The 23,207-nt window shown below is 42.6% G+C and overlaps 1 protein-coding gene across 7 annotated transcripts in view, besides 4 other annotated features; it reads right to left on the bottom strand.

Moving 5' to 3' along the window:
* FAM161A (FAM161 centrosomal protein A) overlaps positions 1-20,923 on the bottom strand; it is a 53,821-nt gene extending 32,898 nt beyond the window's left edge. For 3 of the 7 annotated variants that reach the window (XR_001738972.3, XR_007082540.1, NM_001201543.2), the window contains exons 1-5: positions 20,722-20,923; positions 8,985-9,223; positions 6,284-7,444; positions 5,401-5,568; positions 2,873-2,972 (exon numbers count right to left, since the gene is read on the bottom strand). Coding sequence is in view for 3 of the 7 variants with exons in the window: in NM_001201543.2 (NP_001188472.1) it covers positions 2,873-2,972; positions 5,401-5,568; positions 6,284-7,444; positions 8,985-9,223; positions 20,722-20,904 (1,851 nt within the window). In the remaining 4 variants the exon portion in view is untranslated. Of the gene's footprint in view, positions 1-2,872; positions 2,973-4,807; positions 5,569-6,283; positions 7,445-8,984; positions 9,224-20,721 lie in introns of those variants that run through there. The other 4 variants (XM_047445962.1, NM_032180.3, XR_001738975.3 and 1 more) reach the window with 3 other exon arrangements.
* Positions 20,407-20,536: an enhancer, noted in NCBI's record as "active region_15838". NCBI's record gives its function as "activates an Ori minimal core promoter by ATAC-STARR-seq in GM12878 lymphoblastoid cells {active_cell/tissue: GM12878}" and the evidence as "EXISTENCE:reporter gene assay evidence [ECO:0000049][PMID:35858748]".
* Positions 20,697-20,856: an enhancer, noted in NCBI's record as "active region_15839". NCBI's record gives its function as "activates an Ori minimal core promoter by ATAC-STARR-seq in GM12878 lymphoblastoid cells {active_cell/tissue: GM12878}" and the evidence as "EXISTENCE:reporter gene assay evidence [ECO:0000049][PMID:35858748]".
* Positions 21,097-21,326: an enhancer, noted in NCBI's record as "active region_15840". NCBI's record gives its function as "activates an Ori minimal core promoter by ATAC-STARR-seq in GM12878 lymphoblastoid cells {active_cell/tissue: GM12878}" and the evidence as "EXISTENCE:reporter gene assay evidence [ECO:0000049][PMID:35858748]".
* Positions 22,067-22,116: an enhancer, noted in NCBI's record as "active region_15841". NCBI's record gives its function as "activates an Ori minimal core promoter by ATAC-STARR-seq in GM12878 lymphoblastoid cells {active_cell/tissue: GM12878}" and the evidence as "EXISTENCE:reporter gene assay evidence [ECO:0000049][PMID:35858748]".

Genomic DNA, 23,207 nt, shown 5'->3' on the forward strand with positions numbered 1-23,207 from the left:
TGATGGGCCAGGCATGGTGGTTCACGCCTGTAATCCCAGCACTTTGGGAGGCCAATGCAGACGGATCATCAGGTCAGGAGTTCGAGACCAGCCTGACCAACATGGTGAAACCTCGTCTCTACTAAAAAATACAAAAAAATTAGCTAGGCACGGTGGCGCGCACCTGTAATCCCAGCTACTCAGGAGGCTGAGGCAGGAGAATGGCTTGAACCCAGGAGGCAGAGGTTGCAGTGAGCTGAGATTGTGACACTGTACTCCAGCCTGGGTGACAGAGTGAGACTCTGTCTCAAAAAAAAAAAAAAAAAGGAAATGTGATGATAATAATATAGGGCTCAGCTGCTAACATTGTTTACTAAGTTATAACACTGAATTCCGATCTAACTGTGATAGAGCTGACTGGGAAACAGAAAGATGGAAAGACGTTGAAAGGGTAGGTAAGTGTGCTTCCGAGAGGACGTGTTAAAACAGCTAAATCCTCACCTACCATATCAATAAGCTAGTAGATAGAGTCTGTAATGAAAAAGATAAAAGAACAGTTGAAAGAATGTTACTGAATAATAAAATACCACTTTGTACCCACTAGGAAGACTATAACAAAAAGACAGACAAAAGCTAGGTGCAGTGGCTCATGCCTGTAATCCCATCAACTTGGGAGGTGGAGGTGGGAGGATCACTTGAGGCCAGGAGTTCACGACCAGCCTGGGCCATACAGCGAGACCCAGTCTCTACAAAAAATAAAATTAGCTGGGCATGATGGTGTGGGCCTTTGTCTCAGCTACTTGGGATGCTCATACTGGGGATCATCTGAGCCCAGGAGTTCAAGGTTCCAGTGAGCTATGATTGTACTACTGCACTGGCCTGGGCAACAGAGTGAAACCCTGTCTCTAAAAATATTTTTCTAAAAAAATCAGACAGACAATAACAAGTGCTGATGCTATTCACAACAGCAAAGACATGGTAACAACCCAGCCCATCAGCAGTGGATTGGATACAGAAAATATGTTACACATACACCATGGAATACTACACAGCCATAAAAAAGAATGAAATCATGTCCTTTGCAACAATATGGATACAGCTGGAAGCCATTATCCTAAGCAAACTAAAGCAGAAACGGAAAACCAAACATCATATGTTCTCACTTACAAGTGGGAACTAAACACTGGGTACACATGGAAATAAAGATGAGAACAACAGACACTGGAGAATATAAGAGGGAGAGTGGAGGGAGGAGGGCAAGGGTTGAAAACCTACCTATTGGGTACTATGCTCATTACCTGGGTGATGAGTTCAATCATACCCCAAACCCCAGCTCACACAATATACCCTTTTTTTTTTTTTTGAGATAGAATTTTGGTCTTGTTGCTCAGGCTGGAGTGCAATGACGCAATCTCAGCTCACTACAACCTCCGCCTCCCAAGTTCAAGCAATTCTCCTGCCTCAGCCTCCCAAGTAGTTGGGACTACAGGCACGCAAAACCATGCCCGGCTAATTTTTGTATTTTTAGTAGAGACAAGGTTTCACCATGTTGGCCAGGCTGGTCTCGAACCACTGACCTTAGGTGATCCACCTGCTTCGGCCTCCCAAAATGCTGGCTGGGATTACAGGTGTGAGCCACGGCGCCTGGCATACCCTTGTAACAAACCTGCGCATATACTCCTTGAATTTAAAATAAAAGTTGAAAAAATAAATAAATAAATAAATAAGAAAAACCCAGAAGCAGTGTAAAGAGCAAAAACAAAAAACTTGCAGTTCAGAGCTGGAGATAATGTCTTTGAGCCAAAAGCCAATCACTTTATGATTATAATGTAGAACAGCTTAAAATGATTTTTCCCCCTAAAGTTGAAATAAAGATGTTAAAAAAATCCATCACTTAAAATGAAAGGCATTATATAAAATTATATCTAGATCAGTGAGCAAAAAGATTACGTAACTTTGAGAGACTGTAATGTGCAGATTCACCCACAATACATGTCCACTGTCCTCAATGAGTCACTGGCAAGTACAGTTCTGTAACTATGCTCATCTGTTACAGGTAAATTCTCCAACTGTCTATTGTCCAATTATAACAGCTTCAAATTCACAATTTAGAACCTGTAACCTCCAGTGATTTTGTCAATTGTTAAGCCATGTCACCCATACAGATGCCTCCCCTATGGGACAAAGGAGAAGATGACCTAAAATTGACAAATTTCCCTTAAGGGAAAGGTTGTAAAACCGGGCATAAACTTAGTAAAATCAGGGTCCACTGTCCGTAAGACTAGTTTGTTTTTCGTATAGAAAGGAAGTTCTTTTAGTAATTGCAGAGAAGATTGAATTACAGACTCACTTAAAAAAAAAAACTAGCAGAAATAACTCTGATTCAATTAGCCATTTTGTTTCATTTTTTTAATTCTTCAAAGACCTCCAAGTGATATCATGAAGCCTCATCTTAATATCTAACCAAGTTTGTACTGAAAAAAGACCAGCCATTAGAAAACAGCTTGCAAAATTATTTTACGAACTACTGGATTGGCATGTTATTTATCAAACTTATGTGCTTCATCAAAAAGATTCAATGTTCAGATTATTTTTTTGAGATGAGGTCTTGCTACGTTGCACAGGTTGGACCAAAACTCTTGGGCTCAAGCAATCTGCCCACCTCAGCCTCCCAAGTAGCTGGGACTACAGGTGCACACCACCACACCTGGCTAAATGCTCGGATTTAAGCAAAATTACTCATTGGCTGATATGATGAAGCCAACACAAACAACAATAATGTATCTCAACAGTTATATAACACATAAGAAAAATGGACTGTAAATTTAGGAGCTAAAGCTGTAAAAAAAAAAAAAAAAACTGACGATAGCTCTTAAATTCCAATAAACACAACCTGAGCAACTCTTTCAAATAGCAGTGGCCTCTTTTTTAATTTTTCTTCTCTTTCTTCTAGTTCTCGTTGGTATTCTCTCATCCTTTCCTTTTCGCTCTTTCTAAAATTAAAGAAAAGCAATGGAATTTTAAAAGATCATCTAAGAAATAAGAACTTACATATGTAACATTTAACTTATCAACTTGTACAAAGTCAATGAAAAAAAAGAAATAACATTTAGCTTAGCTGACAAATCAGAAATTATAAGCACAGTTCACAGTTTACCTCGATTCCTCTTCTATACCGGTTAATTCTCATGGAATGCAGAATAAAATCCTAGGTTCTGAGATCACACATATTATGCTCTAGGAATAGTCTGGACACTTTAATTTCTGAAATCCTCAAGGCATAAATATTTTAAGGGACTTCAAACTGCCCTGAAAAGATGAATGAAAGTCCTCTTGTCTCATTTATAAGTGTATAAAACCAAGAAAATTTTGGAACAAATTAGCTATCTTCTCTGTAAGGAATTTCTCCTGAAAACAAGACTTTGCTCTTATTTTTTATTATTATTTTATTGTTGTTGTTATTTACTTTTGTTTTGAGATGGAGTCTCATTCTGTTGCTCAGGCTGGTGCGGTGGCACAATCTCAGCTCACTGCAACTTCTACCTCCTGGGTTCATGCAATTCTCGTGCCTCAGCTTCCCGAATAGCTGAGATTACAGGTGTGCACCACCATGCCTGGCTAATTTTCTGTATTTTTAGTAGAGATGAGGGTTTCACCATGTTGGCCAGGCTGGTCTTGAACTCCTGACCTCAGGTGATCTGCCTGTCTTGGCCTCTCAAAGTGCTGGGATTACAGGCATGAGCCATTGCGCCTGGCCTATTAATTTTGAGACAGGTTCTCACTTTGTTGTCCAGGCTGGAGTGCAGTGGTGCAATCATGGCTGACTGCAGCTTTGACTTCCTGGGCTCAAATGATCCTCCCACCTTAGCTCTCGAGTAGGTGGAACTACAGGGGCATGCCACCACACCTGGCTAATTTTTTTAAATTTTTTGTAGAGATGGGGGTCTCATTATGTTTACCAGGCTGGTCTCAAACTCCTGGGCTCAAGCAATCTTCCTGCCTTGTACTCCTGAGGTGTTGGGATTACAGATGTGAGCCATGGCATCCAGCCTTTGCTGTTATTTTTTTCCCCTAAATAAGATCTCCTACAGGTTAGTGGCAAAGTTAATTCAATGGGAGCAAGTCAAAGGAGAAGTAAAGAGCATGGGAATACAACATAAAGAGAAACAGGAACCAAAATATATAAATTTACCGTAAGTGTTCTCACTGTTTGAGCAAGATCCTATAATAAATTAAACTACACTATTTTCTCTATGTAAGATATAATTGCTACCAAGATAAATAAGATTAATGGATTGGGGAAAATAATTATACTTTTAAATGATAATTAGGCTTAATTATACACAAGTTGGTGTTATGAAAAAGCTATTGTCCAGGCACGGTGGCTCACGCCTGTAATCCCAGCACTTTGGGAGGCCAAGGTAGGCAGATCACCTGAGGTCAGGAGTTTGAGACCAGCTTGGCCAACATGGCAAAACCTCATCTCTACCAAAAATACAAAAATTAGCTAGGCGTGGTGGTGAGCACCTGTAATCCCAGCTACTCTGTAAGCTGAGGCAGGAGAATCGCTTGAACTCGGGATCCAGCCTAGGTGACAGAGCGAGACTCTGTCTCAAAAAAATAAATAAATAAAAAATAAAAAGCTATTAATAGTTTACTTCCTAAGGGTAAGTAATCTATTTCTAAGAAACATTATGCTCACGTTCATCAAATTAAGCTCCCTTTATCAATGGATTAAAGCTAAATTATAAAAGAATACTCATTGTAATTAAAAGCACATATGCATATTTAGAAATCAGATTAAAAAGTAATAAATCACATTACTTACCTGGCTTTGAGGGAGATAGTTTCCTACTTAAACATCAACATTTTTATGTGCAACATCTGGAACACTGGTTTTCAAACTTTGTACTGCAAAATTCTAGTGAAGGGGTTCTAAGAATTCCGTGAATATTTTTATATTGAAACTAACAAAATGCAACACATACTACTAAACATTAACATATGTGCTAATGAACACATCACATAACCGATGTTTAACGTGTTAATTTGTGCTATCAGATTTCATCCAAACCTTAGAACAAAGCTCTTTGATATATCTGTTTACTGCAATCAAAAATAATATAAAGAACAAGATCAGATATTGGTATAAGATTATAACCATTAACTAAGGCCACAATAGAAAATGTCTGTATTCATCAACATAGCTTCATGGTTCTCACCATAAAGGTGAGTTTATATGTTGGTTCTCACCATGAGGTGAGTGTGTGTGCACTGAACACAAGTAACTGATGACAATTTAAATCCATAAGCTAAAACACTAATGCTATTTTCAATCTGCTCATATTTTACTATCTACTGATTAAAAAAAAAAGAGTTTGAAAACCAGTGGTCTGGAGATTCAAGATTTTTTCATGATACCTGAGACATTTTACTCTGGATTTAGATATTTGAGCTAAACTTTGATGTGAGTCATAAGCCTTAGCCCGGGTTGTCAGGAGTTTCTGCAATTCTTTCATTCTTTGCTTCTGTTTAGTTAGGATCCGATTTCTCTCTTCTTCCAACATTTTCTTTTCCTCAAGTGATCTCCTGAGGGTAACAAACTAAGGCTTAATCCACTTTAAGCCAATCAGAATGTTGTTTAGCAAAGATTTAACATGGGATAATTTGAATTTTGATAATTCAAAATTTGAAAAAAGGTAACCTTTTGAAAAGGATCTGACCTGTAAAACTAGAAATATTTATTTATTTATTTATTTATTTATTTATTTATTTATTTTTTTTGAGATGGAGTCTCGCTCTGTCGCCCAGGCTGGAGTGCCATGGCGTGATCTCGGCTCACTGCAACCTCTGCCTCCTGGATTCAAGCGATTCTCCTGCCTCAGCCTCCTGAGTAGCTGGGATTACAGGCACCCGCCACCACGCCCAGCTAATTTTTTGTATTTTTAGTAGAGATGGGGGTTTCATTATCTCGGCCAGGGTGGTCTTGAACTCCTGACCTTGTGATCCACCTGCCTCGACCTCCCAAAGCACTGGGATTACAGGTGTAAGCCACTGTGCCCAGCCAGGTAAAACTAGAAATCTTAAGACTATTATTTTCTAATCCCCCAAAATTTATAAATGAAAAATATATTCATTTCTTAGAATACCCTCTGACAAAATATCATATATTATATAGTAAAATATCTTATAGATACAATAATAATTTCTAAGTATTTTCAAATTTACCAACATAAACTCCACAGAGCTGCATACACTCATCTGGCAACCATGAGTCAGTCAGTACTGCGTCCTACTTACTTACCTTACGGCTTGTTCTCGTCCTCTGGAAGATACCGTGGGCACGGGAGGGTTGCAGTTACAAGGCACAGGGTTTACACCTGCACATCTTACTGGTGACTTACGCCTTGGAGACAAATAAGGCCAACGTGTTTCTTTTAAATTTTCTTCATCTGCTTCGATGTCTGCCAAAATTTTTTCTCTTTTAATAGATGCATGTGGAGATGCATGAAGATCAAATGGTTTACACACTGTTAAGAGTTTTGGAGACTTGTGTTCTGAGAGGTGTTTCTGGTATCTCTCAGGAAGGTCCTCAAAATCAGGAGTTGGGCACCTAACCTTGTGTTTACACTTCAACTTTACAGCCTGTTCAGGACACCTGGGGTTCCTGCATCCACAAGCTGACCTACAAGGCAGAGGAGATGAGTTCTGTAAATGCTCCTGGGCTCTCAGCTGTGTCCTAAGGTTTCGATAGAGCTCTTCTTCTTTTAACTTGTCATTGGTAGTTGAACCATAAGTAGATCGAGGAATGGGTCTGGCTTTAAATCGATTTGTTTTCTTTTTATACTTAAGAAAGTCTCTCAGCTGCTTTTCCCGGGCTGCTCGCTTCTGTTCCTCCCTTGCTATAAATTTAAATGGCTTTTGTGAGGCCAAAAGAGCTTCTTTGCTTTTCTCCTTCAGAGACCTTCTCCGTTCTTCTTTTTGCTTGACTAAATCATGGTAAAGGGGGAGAAAGACAGATGCAGGAACTGGATTGGCTCGGAATTTCTTCTTATACTCTGGATCCTCTTCTTGTTTTTTGAGCGCTTTATGTACCATTTCGATATCTGATTTAGATTTCATGGACTCTTCTTTTTTCTTCTGTTCTCTTATCATCATTTGAAAAGGCTCCGGTACTGTAATTGTGGGCACCCATTCTTTTCGTTTCTTCCTTCTTTTTTCAGCTGCATGGAAGCCAGTATCTTTACAGCGAATATAATCCTCAACACAAAAGTCTGTCCACATATTGTTGATGAGCTCCTTAGCATAGGTCATCATTCTGTTTTTCCTAGGATACTCTTTTTCTAGGTTGGGTAACTCCTCTTCAGAGGAGGACACATACAAGGAGGAAGACTGGCCTAAATCAGGCTCTGAAAATGATGTCATTAATGAGACAGGGTGATAGGAGTTCTTTTCTGATACAGATCTAAATGAGAAGAATAACTATGTTATACTTTCAGTTGTATGTGACCAAATATAAAAATTAAGAGTTACATATTTTCTTTTTTTTTCTGAGACAGAGTCTCACTCTGTTGCCCAGGTTGGAGTGCAGTGGTGTGATATCGGCTCACTGCAACCTCCACCTCCCAGGTTCAAGCAATTCTCCTGTCTCAGCCTCCCGAGTAGCTGGGACTACAGGCTTGTGCCACCATGCTCAGCTAATTTTCTGCATTTTTAGTAGAGACAGGGTTTTACCAAGTTACCCAGGATGGTCTCAATCTCCTGACCTCGTGATCTGCCTGCCTCCGCCTCCCAAAGTGCTGAGATTACAGGCATGAGCCACTGTGCCCAGCCAAGAGTTACATATTTTCTAAGATCAGGGTATAATCAGAAGCGAGGAGCTGGACAGGGCTTGTAAGAATCATCACTTTTATTTGGAATAGAGCTGGGCAATGCCCATAAATTATCCACTTTGACTCCTTCATTTTACAGGGAAGGAACCTGAGATGGCAGAGGGTCCTTGTGTCTAACCTCTATTAAATTCTCCCCACTTTCCAGAGTCACTGTCCTGAAGCATAGATCTGATCATGTCATTCCCCTGCTTGAAACTTTTTGATAATTCCTCACTGCTACGAAGTCAAGCCTAGATTACAAGCCCTTCGAGACTGGCGCCTATCTTTTCAGTCTTACCCCTCACCACTGGCTACCCCAGTCTCCATTCTGCATTCATATCCAGTCCTGTGAAGTTCCTCACACACGATATGATTTCTCATGCCATCTTGCCTTTGCATACATGGTTTCTGCTGCCTAGAAGGCCAATACTTATTCCTCCTCCAAGACTGAACTCAGATGTGACACTTTAGTGGAAAATTCTGGCCTGCATCCCTCTGAAAGCTTGGCATGACCAACTGCTTCTTCCTCTGTAACACTCTGTTACATCATGCTGTAATGCAATTTTTGGTTCTCAGCTAGTCTCTAAGCTCCTTGAGGGCATCTTGTTTTTGACTCCTCAGCGCCCAGGCATAGTCTGGCACAAAGGAGACATGCAAGCATCGCTGACTGACTAGATGTGTAAGTCTCAGAGCAGGTGAGTTCACAGCAGAAATGGGTCTTGAAATTGCAGACTATTTTGAAAACATAAATCAGATTCATGTCTCCTAGTCCTGAACTCTTTGTACTAGATCTTTAATGAGCTCATGTTAATCCACATATTATAAAGAGCTTTTAAAATTAAACTTTTATATTTACCAGTTAAAATGGCACAGACTAAGTATTTTGATACATGCCCTCAGTTCTATGGGTGGGTCAGAAAGAAAAGACCAAATGGCCACCAAATGACCCTCAAGCAAACGGTCATCCAGTAAGCTGATAAGCCATTAAACATTTTGAATAAAATCCTACCTCTGTATATCGTTGGGAGTACAAAGGGCTATTTAAGAGAAAATATTATGAAGTAACTTTGTTCTGTCCTTTTAAGGATACATTTTATTTTATACTCCACAAATAACATTGAGTTACAAGCTTACCTGGAAGAGTCACTAAGAGAGTCTTCTCTGATGACCACTGGCTGAACTTCCTTTAAATGTAATTTATCCTGGTACATTTTCTCTAATTTTGCCATAGTTTCTATGTGGGCAGCCTTCAACTCTTCTACTTTCTTGAAATACTCCTCATTAGAGTGGTGAATATCAGGAAAGTTCACAAAGTCCTCATAGCTTATCGGTGCATGTTCATCCACCCCAGAAAAGCTGGTGTTCAAATCAGCCTGGTGGGGAGAAAACACTTGATATATAGTGACTGGAGCTGAAAGACAAATTAAGCTGACACTGATCCAAAATGCTGCTTCTTAAAGAGTCCACCTAGTTAGGTTATACATTAATTATGGGCTATGCATATAGAATGAGTTATAGGTTATTTGTGGGCTATGTACATTTTCCCCAGTGATATTTTAAGAACGAGAGGGAGCAAGACCAAACTGTCAGAAAATAAATGTTATTTAATCCATTTGATAAAGGATGGTTCAATTCCCAGATCAACCAACAAAAGGTATAATAGGATAGAACCCAACAACCCTTTACAAAGTATTTCTATAAGGAGCCTCCTGAGTTGTAAGTTTTAACTGAGATGAAGAGGAACACGGTTCTACCTGCTGTAAACCAGGCAACCACAGCCCAATGCTCTCCCTCCAGCTGCGCTCCTGCAGTGTGGCTCCAAGGACTGCCAGTGGAGAGAAGGCAGGGAAATAGAGGAAATGGGGGCAGGGACAAAGTTCTCAGTGGCTTATCAAGGAGCCAGGGAGAAGCCCTCCTCACAGTGGGGCAAGACTTTGGGAGGGAGTAAGAGGACATGGGAGGGGGTAGGAGGGACTTTCAGGGTAGCTGCTTCTGTGGGCACAAAAGCAGTAGCTCCCATGGGTGACCGGGACTTTAGGATGACAACAAAGCAAAGAAGAAAAAATGCTGTAATTATTCAACATACAGATCATGTTTAGAAGGGTCTGACTGGCCTTTCTCCCTCACTCCCTTTACATACCTTTCAGTTTTTTTGTTTGTTTGTTTGTTTTTACGAGACGGAGTCTCACTCTGTCACTCAGGCTGGAGTGCAGTGGCACCATCTCAGCTCACTGCAACCTCTGCCTTCTCCTGCCTCAGACTCCCAAGTAGCTGGGATTACAGGCGCACACCACCACACCCAGCTAATTTTTGTATTTTAGTAGAGACGGGGTTTCACCATGTTGGCCAGACTGGTCTTGAATTCTTGACCTCAGGTGATCTACTCGCCTCGGCCTCTCAAAGTGCTGGGATTATGGGCATGAGCCACCGTGCCCTACCCTTTCAGTTCTTTTAATTGAAGCAACTAAAGAGATAAAACCCCATTTTCTCCATAAATATAAAATTTTTATTATGTTCTCAGTTGAGAAACAGTTGAAATTATTTATGATACTATGCATAAAAGGCTGCCAACCACAGTTTTAAATTTAGCCTACTGTCTGGAACAGATGCAAAATGAAAAAATTTGCTACAGAAAATTATAGATCCAATCTGATAAGACTCTAGAAAATAATCTGTTTAGCTTCTCTCAAAATAAAAATTCAGAAGAGTCAATTATAAATAGTAGTTATAGATGTGGTATTTTTGTTTCCCACTGGAGGCTTCTCAGAAGATATGGTATTTTTTTTAATACGCTAAAATCAGCATACAAGAGGACAATGTTGTACTACTTGGGGTAACTTAAAGAAAACAACTTTTAAAAAATCAGTCTTCAGAGGCCGGGCACGGTGGCTCACGCCTATAATCCCAGCACTTTGGGAGGCCGAGGCAGGTGGATCACGAGGTCAGGAGATTGAGACAATCCTGGCTAACATGGCAAAACCCCATCTCTACTAAAAATACAAAAAATTAGCCAGGTGTGCTGGCGGGCACCTATATTCCCAGCTACTCGGGAGGCTGCAGCAGGAGAATGGCGTGAACCTGGGAGGCAGAGCTTGCAGTGAGCTGAGATCAGGCCACTGCACTCCAGCCTAGGCGACAGAGCGAGACTCTGTCTCCAAAAAAAAAAGCAGTCTTCAATAGAACTTACGTGCAGAAATTTGCTACCAACAACTCTATGAATCAGAGAACTGCTTTAACTATGTCAAACAATTCAATTAAGAGAATTCTCTGATATCTTCTGCTGTTTCTTTATGTGCTTCTCACCATAAACTTCTTATCTGCAGGATGACTACTTTGTGAATTTCCTCATTCATTAAATATTTGGGGGCCATCCTGCAATCAGCTAGCTGCTAAAATGTACGTCAGATTTTTTTTAAACTCTACCTTTGAGGCCAGGCACAGTGGCTCACACCTATAATCCCAGCACTTTGGGAGGCCGAGGCAGCCAGATCACTTGAGGTCAGGAGTTTGAGACCAGCCTGGCCAACATGGTGAAACCCCCTCTCTACTAAAAATACAAAAATTAGCCAGGCATGGTGGCAGGTACCTGTAGTCCCAGCTACTCGGGAGGCTGAAGCGGAAGAGTCACCTGAACCCAGGAGGTGGAGGTTGCAGTCAGCCAAGATCGTACCACAGCACTCCAGCTTGGGTGACAAAGCAAGACTCTGTCTCACTTAAAACAAACAAACAAACAAAAACTCTACCTTTGAGAAGTTTCCAGCTAGCTTAGGAAAGGACATGTATATAAATAATAGACAGCTGACTTAGAATGAGACAGAACACCTGATTCCTGCCCACAAGCTACTTCCAGCTAAGCGGAGAGACAGATGTATGTCACAATGTCAGACACTAAGAGACAGAGGCACAATTCACAGAGGTGAGCCAGACTGGAGACACATGGTTGGACGAGGACAAAGTTTGCCAGATCAGGGAGGCAGTGAAAAAGGAATAAATAAATCCGAGGCATAGTGCTAGAACATCCATCGCCAGGAAACATGTGGATAAATGTCTGGAGACCTGGTGAGAAGGCTGGGCTGGAGAGCAGATACAGGAGCCACCAATCCACACAGAAGTAGCAGGTGCAGCCTTGGTTATGGACGAGGCTGCCTGGAGGGAGTGTGAGCAACAAGACATGAGAGGACCTGAGAATGGAGATGTTGGAGAACACCAACATTTAAATAAGCAGCGGAAGGAGGACTAATAGGAGGTAGAGAGTGGCATGAGAGATACAAAGACCAACTGATACGGGTCTTTGGAGCCTCTGATTGAGTATTCTGACACCACATCTGTAATTTTTCTCCTAAACCATGAGAACACTCCAAACTAAAAGTTATTTAACTCTCACCCAATGCTTTCACCTTTATAGGGTCAAAAGGGGGCTGAAACCAGGTGACCAGTGACCAGGAGCCAGTGGTAGACAGGAAATGGAGGGAGCTTTTGTTTCGTTTGAGTTTGGAAGATAGGGGAAGACTTCCTGGAGGAGGTAATATTTGAGATGAGTCATAAAGAATGGAGGCCAGGTGTGGTAGCTCATGCCTGTAATCCCAGCACTTTGGGAGGCTGCAGTGGGAGGACTGCTTGAGGCCAGGAGTTCCAGACCAGCCTGGGCAACACGGCGAGACACCATCTCTACAAATTTTTTTTAAAAAATTAGCTGGATGTGGTGGCTGAGGTGGGAGGATCACTTGAGCCCAGGAGGTTGAGGCTGCAGTGAGCCGTGAGCGCGCCACTGCACTTGAGCCTGGGCGACAGAGTGAGACCTTGTATCAAGAAAAAAGAAGGCTGGGCGCGGTAGCTCACGCCTGTAATCCCAGCACTTTGGGAGGCTGAGGTGGGTGGATCACCTGAGCTCAGTAGTTCAAGACCAGCCTGGCCAACATGGTGAAACCCCTTCTCTACTAAAAATACAAAAATTAGCCAGGCATGGTGGCGTGTACCTGTAGTCCCAGCTACTCAGGGGACAGAGGCAGGAGAATCGCTTGAACCTGGGAGGCAGAGATTGCAGTAAGCTGAGATCGAGCCATTGCACTATAGCTTCGGCGATCAAGCAAGACTCTGTCTCAAAAAAAAAAAAAAAAAAAAAAAAGAATGGAGAAATCTATAGGATCACAGAGTGTTTATGGGAAAGAAGGGGAAAGTACCCTAGGCAAAGGAAATGGCGTTAGCAAATGCGCAGGCTGGGGTTGGGGAGGCTGTGCATAGCAGAGGGCAAGGTGCACATGGCTGCCGGATAAAAGGAGAGGAAAACCCATAAAGCAGTTTTGGGAAGTAAACCTAGAAAGGGAGGTTAGGGCAAGCAAGAAGGGGTTTCCATCTCCTGCCTACCACTGGCTCCTGATTACTGGTCACGTGGTTTCAGCCCCCTTATGACCCTTCAAAGATGAAAGGGTTGGGTGGGAGTTAAATAACTTTTAGTTTGGAGTGTTCTCACAGCTTAGGAGAAAGATTTCAGATGTGACGTCAGGATACTCATACAAGCCTGGGCTCCGCACTTAGCAATGTGATGTGGGCATGAACTTCTTGAACATCAGCTTTAAGATATGTAAAGTAGGTGTGCCAGGTGTTAAACTAGTGTCTCTCAGCTCCAATGCCACCCTTCTCGACTCTGCTTTGCAATGCCAGAGCTGGAACTCTGCAAACCACACTTCTGCTTTGCCAGTGCTCCTCATCAGACTCTGCTAAAAGTGGAGTTAGAGGGAGATACAAGGCTAGAGGAGAAAGATGGGACTTACTCCTTTCTGTTAGCCCTCTGACTGCTTCCTGTCGGCTTGTGTCAGTCTAGCAACGGTTATTCATCTGGGCAGCAGCAGTTCGTTTTAGTAGCAGTGTCTGAATCCAGTATGCAGTTTTCACTCGAAAAATCAACAGAATTGGCCAGGCACAGTGGTTCATGCCTGTAATCCCAGCACTTTGGGTCACTTGAGGTCAGGAATCCGAGACCAATCTGGCCAACATGGTGAAACCCCATCTCTACTAAAAACAAAACTTAGTCGGGTGTGGTGGTGCATGCCTATAATCCCAGCTACTCGGGAGGCTGAGGCAGGAGAATCGCTTGAATCCAGGAGGCAGAGGTTGCAGTGAACCAAGATCGCACCACTGCACTCTAGCCTGGGTGACAGAGTGAGGCTCCATCTCAAAAAAAAAGAAACAAAAATCCACAGAATTACTTCAAGGCCTTTGCACTTGCTGTTCCCTCTCCCTAGGATGCCTTTTCCTCCAGATATCCACATGACCCACTTGCTCACTCCTTCAGGTCTTTATGTAAATGTTGTCTTCTCAATAAGGTCTTCCCTGACTCTCCTATTTAAAATTACAACTTCTCCCAGGACTCACTGTCAGCCCCCTTGTCTGTCTTATTTTTCCCAGAAGTACTCATCACCATTGACGTCCTACATATCTGTACTTGATTGTGTATTATATGCCTGCCCCTACCAAAAAGTAAACATTACAAAGGTAAGAATTTGCCAGGCCTGATGGCTCAGGCCTGTAATCCCAGCACTTTGGGAGGCTGGGGCAGGTGGATTGCTTGAGCCCAGGAGTTTCAGACCAGCCTGGGTAACACGTCAAGGCCTCATCTCTACAAAAAATACAAAAAATTAGCTTGGTGAGGTAGTATGCACCTATAGTCCCAGCTAGTTGGGGGACTGAGGCGGAAGGATCACCTGAGCCCAGGAGGTTGGGGCTGCAGTGAGCTATGATGGAGGCACTGCACTCCAGCCTGGGTAACAGTGTGACCCTGTCTCAAAAAAACAAAACAAAACAAAAAGAAAGGCAAGGATTTGTCTGCTTTGTTTAATGTTGTGTCCCCAGTGTCTAGAAAAGTACCTGGCTAATGGCAGATGTTCAAGGAATATTTACTGAATGAATGAATGAATGTACAGAAAAAAAAAATTCCACCTTGGGAAGAGGGCAGTTACTCCCTCCCAAAAGAATGAACCATGCAAAGAAATGCTGGCTGCTCTAAAGAGCTATATTCCACCAAGTATTAAGAAAAAGGCCTATGTTCCAAAAACTATAATTAAAACAGGGAGGGTATTTCAAAGAACTGTTTTTAAGCAAAAGAATCTATGCGCTCTCATTCATTCTTTTAGAATATCTCTTAAAAATCATGTCTTATAGCAGTCATTTACACAAGAAGGATCAAATTTATTTGGACCTGGAAGAACCGTTTGAAAACCATATAGAAGAATGAGTAGCTTCTGAAAGATGCGGCAGGTCTGATAAATTATACTTATGTACTGATTTTGCACTGGATCCATTCTGTTTTCAGCTTAATACTGTTAACGCTAGCTGAAACTTTTCAGATAAACTGATCTCACAGTGTTTAACCTAAAACAGATGAATGGCTAGTAAATGACCTCCAATTCTAATTTAATCTTTAATTGTCTCCACTGAGAAAATATTTAGTATACAAAATAACCTAGGCCATAGACATTATTTTTCCAAGAGCCTAAAATAGCATCCTCTCCCTTTAATCGGCTTTTTGTGGAATGTTGTAAATGCAGCCACCAGATTAGAGGATAATCTTCCCTAGATTGGCTTGACCCATTTAGATAATGAATCCTTCCAGTACCTGTTGCTTTATTAGTAATCAGCACCTATGAAGAATTATTTGTGCTGCAGCCTATATAGTTTCATCTGCAACCTGTAATTTTTGAAAAAATTTTTTTCGCTGAATTTGTAAAGAATGAGAGAGATCTACATGTACTAACATGGGTAAACTCCCAATAAATAAGAAAAAAAAGCAAGTTGCAGAACTATCTCCCTCTCTCTGTCTATATATATATTTATATATATATATCTATATATATTTATATATATATTTATATATATATTTATATATATATTTATATATATATTTATATATATTTATATATATATTTATATATTTATATATATTTATATATATATATTTATATATATTTATATATATATTTATATATATATATATTTATATATTTATATATATTTATATATATATTTATATATTTATATATATTTATATATATATTTATATATTTATATATATTTATATATATATAAATATATATATTTATATATATATTTAAATATATATATTTATATATATATTTAAATATTTATATACTTATATATATTTATATATTTATTTATATATTTATATAGTATGTACTGTATATTAAAATATATGGAGGAGATAGAAAAACGGCCAGAGAATAGAATACATATCAATTTTGAAACAGTGGCTACCATTAGGGAGGGAGTAGGTATTCATATTTTCTCTTCTGGGGGAGAGTTGTTAAAAGGGCCTAAGCGTCATATGTAACATTTGATATTTTAAGAGAAGAATGTCACCTGGTATGGTGGCATATACTTCTAACCCGAGCACTATGGGAGGCCGAGGAGGGCGAATTGCTTGAGCCCAGGAGTTTGAGACCACCCTGGGCAACATAGTGAGACCTTTATTTTACAAAATAAAAATAAAAATAAAAAAATTAGGCCAGGATGGTGGCTCAGGCCTGTAATCACAGCACTTTGGGAGGTCAAGGCTGGCGAATCACTTGAGGTCAGGAGTTCAAGATCATCCTGGCCAACATGGTAAAACCCCGTCTCTACTAAAAATACAAAAATTAGCTAGGTGTGGTGGTGTGCACCTGTAGTCCTAGCTACTCAGGAGGCTGAGGCAGGAGAATCACTTGAACCCAGGAGGCACAGGTCTCATTGAGCCGAGATTGTGCCACTGTACTCTAGCCTGGTGACAGAGCGAGACTCCATCACAAAAAAAAAAAAAAAAAGAGAATGAAATCATGTCCTTCACAGCCACGTGGATGGAGCTGTAGGACATAATCTTAAACAAATTAACAGAAAACCAAATATCACATGTTCTCATAAGTGGCAGGTAAAATAATGAGTACACACGAACATAAACATGGAAACCACAGACACTGCGGGCTACCACCAGGTGGGGAGGGAGGGAGGGAGGGAGGGCGGCGTAGGTTGAAAAACTATCTATTGGGTACCATGCTCACTACCTGGATGCAATATACCCATGTAACAAACCTGCACATGCACCTCTGTATCTAAAATAACAGGTGAATTTAAAAATATAGGCCAGGCATGGTAGCTCATGCCTGTAATCCCAGTACTTTGGGAGGCTGAGGCGGGCGGATCACCTGAGGTCAGGAGTTGGAGACCAGCCTGACCAACATGGAGAAACCCCGTCTCTACTAAAAATACAAAATTAGCCGGGCGTGGTGGCACACGCCTGTAATCCCAGCTACTTGGGAGGCTGAGGCAGGAGAATCGCTTGAACCTGGGAGGTGGAGGTTGTGGTGAGCCAAGATCACGCCACTGCACTCCAGCCTGGGCAACAAGAGTAAAACTCCATCTCAAAAAAATATATGTGTGTGTGCGTTCGTGTGTATGTGTGTATATGTGTATGTATGTATGTATATCGACAGTGGAGCCAGGCACAGTGGCTCACGCCTATAATCCCAGCACTTTTGGGAGGCCAAGGCAGGTGGATCACTTGAGCCCAGGAGTTCGAGACCAGCCTGGGGAACATGGTGAAACTCTGTCTCTACAAAAAATATAAAAATTAGCTGGGCGTGGTGGCATGCACCTTTAGTTCCAGCTACTTGGGAGGCTGAGGTGAGGAGATTGATTGATCCTGGGAGGTTGAGACTGCAGTGACCTGTGACTGCACCAGTGCATTCCAGCCTGGACAAGAGAGTGAAACTCTGTCTCAAAAAATAATAAATAAAAAGTGGAGTCAGAAGAAAAACAATAGGTTCTCTCCTATTTATTTTTAATCATTATAGGCTGTTCATTTCTTTCCCAACATTTCCCATCTTATAGTTATGTGTCTGTTCATTTTTTGTTTTTTGAGATGGAGTTTCGCTCTTGTTGTCCAGGCTGGAATACAATGGCGTGATCTCGGCTCACTGCAACCTCCACCTCTCGGGTTCAAGCGATCCTCCTGCCTCAGCCTCCTGAGTAGCTGAGATTACAGGCATGTGCCACCACGCCCGGCTAATTTTGTATTTTTAGTAGAGATGGGGTTTCTCTATGTTGGTCACGCTGGTCTTGAACTCCCAACCTCAGGTGATCCACCCACCTCAGCCTCCCAAAGTGATGGGATTACAGATGTGAGCCACCGCGCCCGGCCCTGTTCATTTTTAATTGTCTGATTTCCCTCACCAGACTGAAAATTCTGTGAGGATGTGAGCTATATATACACTGAATAGTTAATGACTAGCACTTAATAAATGTTCAATATTTGTTGAAAAGATAAGGTTGCCCCATTAGGAGTGAGATTTTATTTTTTCTTTTTATTTATTTATTTTTTTGAGACATAGTCTCACTCTGTTGCCCAGGCTGGAGTGCAGTTTTTGCATCTCAGCTCACTGCAACCTCCGCCTCCCGGGTTCAGGCAATTCTGCCTCAGCGCCCCCTAGTAGCTGGGATTACAGGCGCGTGCCACCACGTCCGGCTACTTTTTGTATTTTTAGTAGAGACCGGGTTTTGCCATGTTGGCCAGGCTGGCCTCAAACTCCTGACCTCAAGTGATCTACCTGCCTCAGCCTCCCAAAGTGCTGGGAGGAGTGAGATTTTAATTGCGAATTACAGAATACTGCGTTACCTGTGTCATCATCAGTCATATAACAGGATATGTGGACCAACATCTCTGACTAAGGCTAGATTCAAGGAACAGGCATCAGTGCCCAATATGGGCACTGCAAGGGGGGTGCGTGTGTATGCCAGAGCTGGGAGGGTGTATAGGGATGGTGCAGGGGTTGGGGGGTTGGGGGGCAGTGTGGGGTGGGATGAGTGGTCTGGCTTTGGCAAAACCAAAGAGCTGAAAGAGGCCTATTGTGATGGGTGGTTCTCAAATCAATCTTGTGGGTTAGGTATAATATTTGACTTTACTACATTTTATAGATAATAAGGTTAAGGCAAATTAACCTTTAAAAATCAAGATGGAGACCCAAGCCAACCAGTGAAGAAAGCAGAGCCTATTTCCTGCACTCTTCCTGCCTTCTTAATGCCTCTTCCCCCAGCCTGTGCCCCCTGGCTATCAGGCCCACTGTGGCAGCTTACCCAGCTTTACTTTTGGATCCCTCATGTGTGGTGGTCTCAGAACAGTACCAAACTCTTAAGACTTGGCTTCCTTTTTTTTTTTGTAGGATCCTGTCCTTTCCAAACTAGATTATTGTATAAACTGATCCCTCCTAAGGTAATAACAGTTTCTAACACAAATTTGCAGTTTAACAGGGCACTGTGGAAGCATATCTGCAACTTAGAAGTGACTGACTCCTTTACCACAGCAAGCCAAAGTTGAGTTTAATCTTTGGGAAGGCACACAAATGACACTCCCACTGGCAACTCATTTACATAGATTGCTCTTTAGAGGAGACACACATTCTTTCATTTGGTTCTCATAGAGCTGAGATGGGAAAAAAGAGACAATTATTATAGTTATTTTACAGATAAGGAAACTGAGGTTTAAGGAAATTATGTCCTAACACCACCTAGGAAGTGGCAGGGAATGGATCCTAATACAGAACTCTTCAATCCTTTTTCTCCATCACGTTGCCTTGTTGCCTACTGAAAATTGTGTTGAGGGGTAGCTTCATCATGAACAAAATCGGTCCTAGCACTCTGATCCTGGTTCATGTTCAGGGTCTCAGTCTGCCTTACTCTGGATAACTTCAAGTTGTTTGTCTGTTGGTGAAAGATTGGTCACAAAAGGTGTTGCTAAAGATGTTCTCATTAACAATTTTACTGTAGATTAAAGAGATCAGAATTCCAAAATATCCAGTGATTTCAGTTAGTCCTCAATCATAAGTTTGGTGTCTGAGAAGCTTTGGACACATGGTATTAGGAAATTTTTTCTATCTGCAGATTGCTAGTTTAAATTCAAGATTCCCATCTTTTTTTTTTTTTTTTTTTTTTGAGACTGGGTCTGAGATCTCAGCTCACTGCAACCCTCACCTCCCAAGTTCAAGCGATTCTCCTGCCTCAGCCTTCCGAGTAACTAGGATTACAGGGGCGCACCACCACGCCCGGCTAAATTTTGTATTTTTAGTACAGACGGGGTTTCACCATGTTGGTCAGGCTGGTCTCGAACTCCTGACCTCGTAACCCGCCCACCTCGGCCTCCCAAAGTGCTGGGATTATAGGCACGAGCCACCGCGCCCGGCCAAGATTCCCATCTTTTAAGTGAATTGAGCAGATGGCAGACCCTGCCCTCTACCTGCTGGACTGGTGTCCACAACAGATTTAACAATGAAAACTGATCAGTGAAAAGGCCGTCTCGCTGTACCCTAAAGAGCTGTTTAGGAAACACTGAAACCTCAGTGATTTGCTTATCTGTATCCGTGTCTGATTTAGCCAGTGAACACGTGATGGTTTTAAACACACATCTTTAGAGCACTATGTTGAGATCCGCTTATAACCAAGATCTTAAGGTAATAACGAAACACACCTGACAGAACAGTTTTCCTCAAATTACTATATATAGCCAGATATATCTCTATATATCCATTCCCGAGATGCTGGAGAGTAGAGAGTAAAATTCTATACTTTGCACTTGCCAGAAGCAGAGTAACATAAATGTTGTCTAGGAAGCTTTTACAACAGACTGGTGAAAATTAAAACACTTTTCAACGCCTCGATTTAGAGTAATTTTCGTGAGCGTAGAGAAGGGGCTGGGCCAGGACCACCAAGTAGGGACTATGTGCACAGGGACCCGCGTTTACCAGCCTGCCCTCAGCTGGGCGGGGAACCGGACAGCCCTCAGCCTGCACCCAGCCCATGCGAGGTCCCAGCCCAAGTCCCGCCCCAGTATTACCGATGCCCCAGCGGGCTGAGCCACTTTCTCCTCCTCTTCGTCCTCCAAGATCGCCTCCGCTGCCGCCAGGGCCTTTAAGGGGTCTTCGCGTTCGTACTGGGCGACCCGCGCTCCAGTGATGGGATTTACCGGGGTCTGGAGACTGGAGGCCACCAGCTTCGCCACTCGGTGGGAGGTGGCCATCGCCCCGCCTCCGAGGCCTGAGCGCCTGCGCTGGCCCGGGACGGGAAAGCTGGTGCGGCCCCTGGCAACCCGGGGGCGCCTAGCTAGGGAGCCGGTTGCTATGGGCGCCGTAACTGGGGACGCTACAGGAGCCGCCAGGGACCAAAAGTCACGCAAAATCCACTCAGGCTGCCAGAGACCCGAGTCGGGTGCTTACTGGATCATGGCAGTCAGTACCGAGTCTGTTGGCTGGTTCCGAAGGTTGGCAGGCTGAACAGGGCACTTATTCCACTCCTTTGCGTCTAACCGCCTGAACGCAGACTTCTCACATTATACAATGAAACAACTGCTTTTGTGAAGAAAAGAACGCTTTTTTATTAACTGCAATAACATGTTAGAAGGAGACAGTTGATGGAGGAGACGGCGGCGGCGGAGGAAAGCAGGGCGTGTTACTGGGTGGCGGTCTCAGAAGAGTGACAAGGTTGGCGTCCCGCTACCTAACATGTCTCCCGCGGGGGCCAGAGTGGGAAGGAGGGCGGTACATTCTACTCTGATTGACTTGAGGGCTAGCAGGAATCCACCAATCAGAAGGAGGCTCCCAGTTGTCCCTCTCGCTTTTTTCTTGACATGACCAATAAAAGCCCAGAGTTGGGTGGCGCCTGACCCTCCCACTAATGAGTGATAGTGCAGGTATTGTAAACCTGGCGTTTGCTTTGGGTTCTTCAGCTTGAGAGTGACAGGATTGAACGGCACAAGTGCCCAAGAGTCACCACAGACACATCCATCTCCCTCATCCGTATCTTCTCTTCCCACTCGGGATTTGGACGCATCAAATGGCGCCTTCCCTCTGCACCACGTGGCAGTAAGAGAAGCCAAACCTCAAAATAGCGGACGTGGTGCAGTCTCAGACATCTGCTCCCTGAGCCCCTGCTTACTGAGGCCGAGGCTGCCGCCCCCTATCTACTCCCTATCTACCCCCTCTCTATCCTTTGCCCTCCTCCTGCTCCCCAGCCCTACGACCGGCCCCCTCCGGTCAGTATTTTCCTCGTTATGCGCTGCACATCGTCGAGAACCCGTCTCTAAGGTCTGAGCCCTTACCAAACCTTTGTTCTCCTGTCTGGGTGTGAGCACCTACAAAGTCTCCTACGTCCCCACTTCCTTCAGGCTGCTCTTGGTTTTAGCTGAACAGTTGCTTCCCATGCTGGAACAGATGCTGACTGGGTTCTAAGCAGAAGCCAGAGCCAGAACCATGAGATATGCACCGCCAGGTGTGGCCAAGTTTCCAGGGGAGCAATTTCCAGTCAGACACGGCAGCCAGTTTTGTGGCTACAAAACTGCCTCAGCCTCCGGAGTAGCTGGGATTACAGGCGCACTCCCGGGAGGCGGAGGTTGCAGTGAGCCGGGATGGCGCCACTGCACTCCAGCCTGGGCAATAAAGCAAGACTCCGTCTCACCACCACCACCACCAACAAAAGTATTGATAAGGAATTATAGCAGATGAATTATAAATAATGAAATATCCTATTCTCTTTACTGTAAATTCCTCATAGACAATTGCTTCTCTCAGAATGCTTTCGTTGGTTTATGCTGTACTCCTGTATTTGTGGCCAACTTATGGTTGCAATTGTTTAACAACCTAGTTCCAACATGAATGTTGGTTAATATTTTTGTTTTTATTTGTGATTAAGATGAGAGTGACATATCCAAGATCTATGTCAGAATTTCACTTGTCAATGTTATGAGCAACTTCTTTGCTGAAATAGATAATCATTTTCTAACACTGGAATAATTTTTCTTAATTTTTTCTGCAAGTCACAATGTAAAGGCTACAGATAACACAAACTTTTAAGTTTACTCTGCATTAATATTTTCCACATCCGTTTCTTAAGTTTAAATGTCCAATGTTTAGCTTTTGCTGATTTCCATGATGTCAATATTCCCATCATAGCCAATTTCAAGCCACCAATGTGACATCACTTAATAAGAATTTGAGAAAAGATGTCTAGTAGCACACCATTATATAGTATTTCCACCATACAGATACAGTAGATGCAAGGAACATAAAAGAAAGTGAAGAGTTTTAAGAAATTATCTTTGTTTTTGACATAATTTATTGTAATTAACAAAACAATTTTTTTTTTTTTAAGATGGAGTCTCCTTGTCACCCAGGCTGGAGTGCAGTGACGTGATCTCGGCTCACTGCAACTTCCGCCTCCCAGGTTCAAGCGATTCTCCTGCCTCAACCTCCCGAATAGCTGGGACTACAGGTGCCTGCCAACACGCCTAGCAAATGTTGTATTTTTAGTAGAGGGCAGGGTTTCACC

The sequence above is a fragment of the Homo sapiens genome, chromosome 2 (assembly GCF_000001405.40).
Source record: "Homo sapiens chromosome 2, GRCh38.p14 Primary Assembly".
In the NCBI taxonomy this organism is placed as follows: Eukaryota; Metazoa; Chordata; class Mammalia; order Primates; family Hominidae; genus Homo; species Homo sapiens.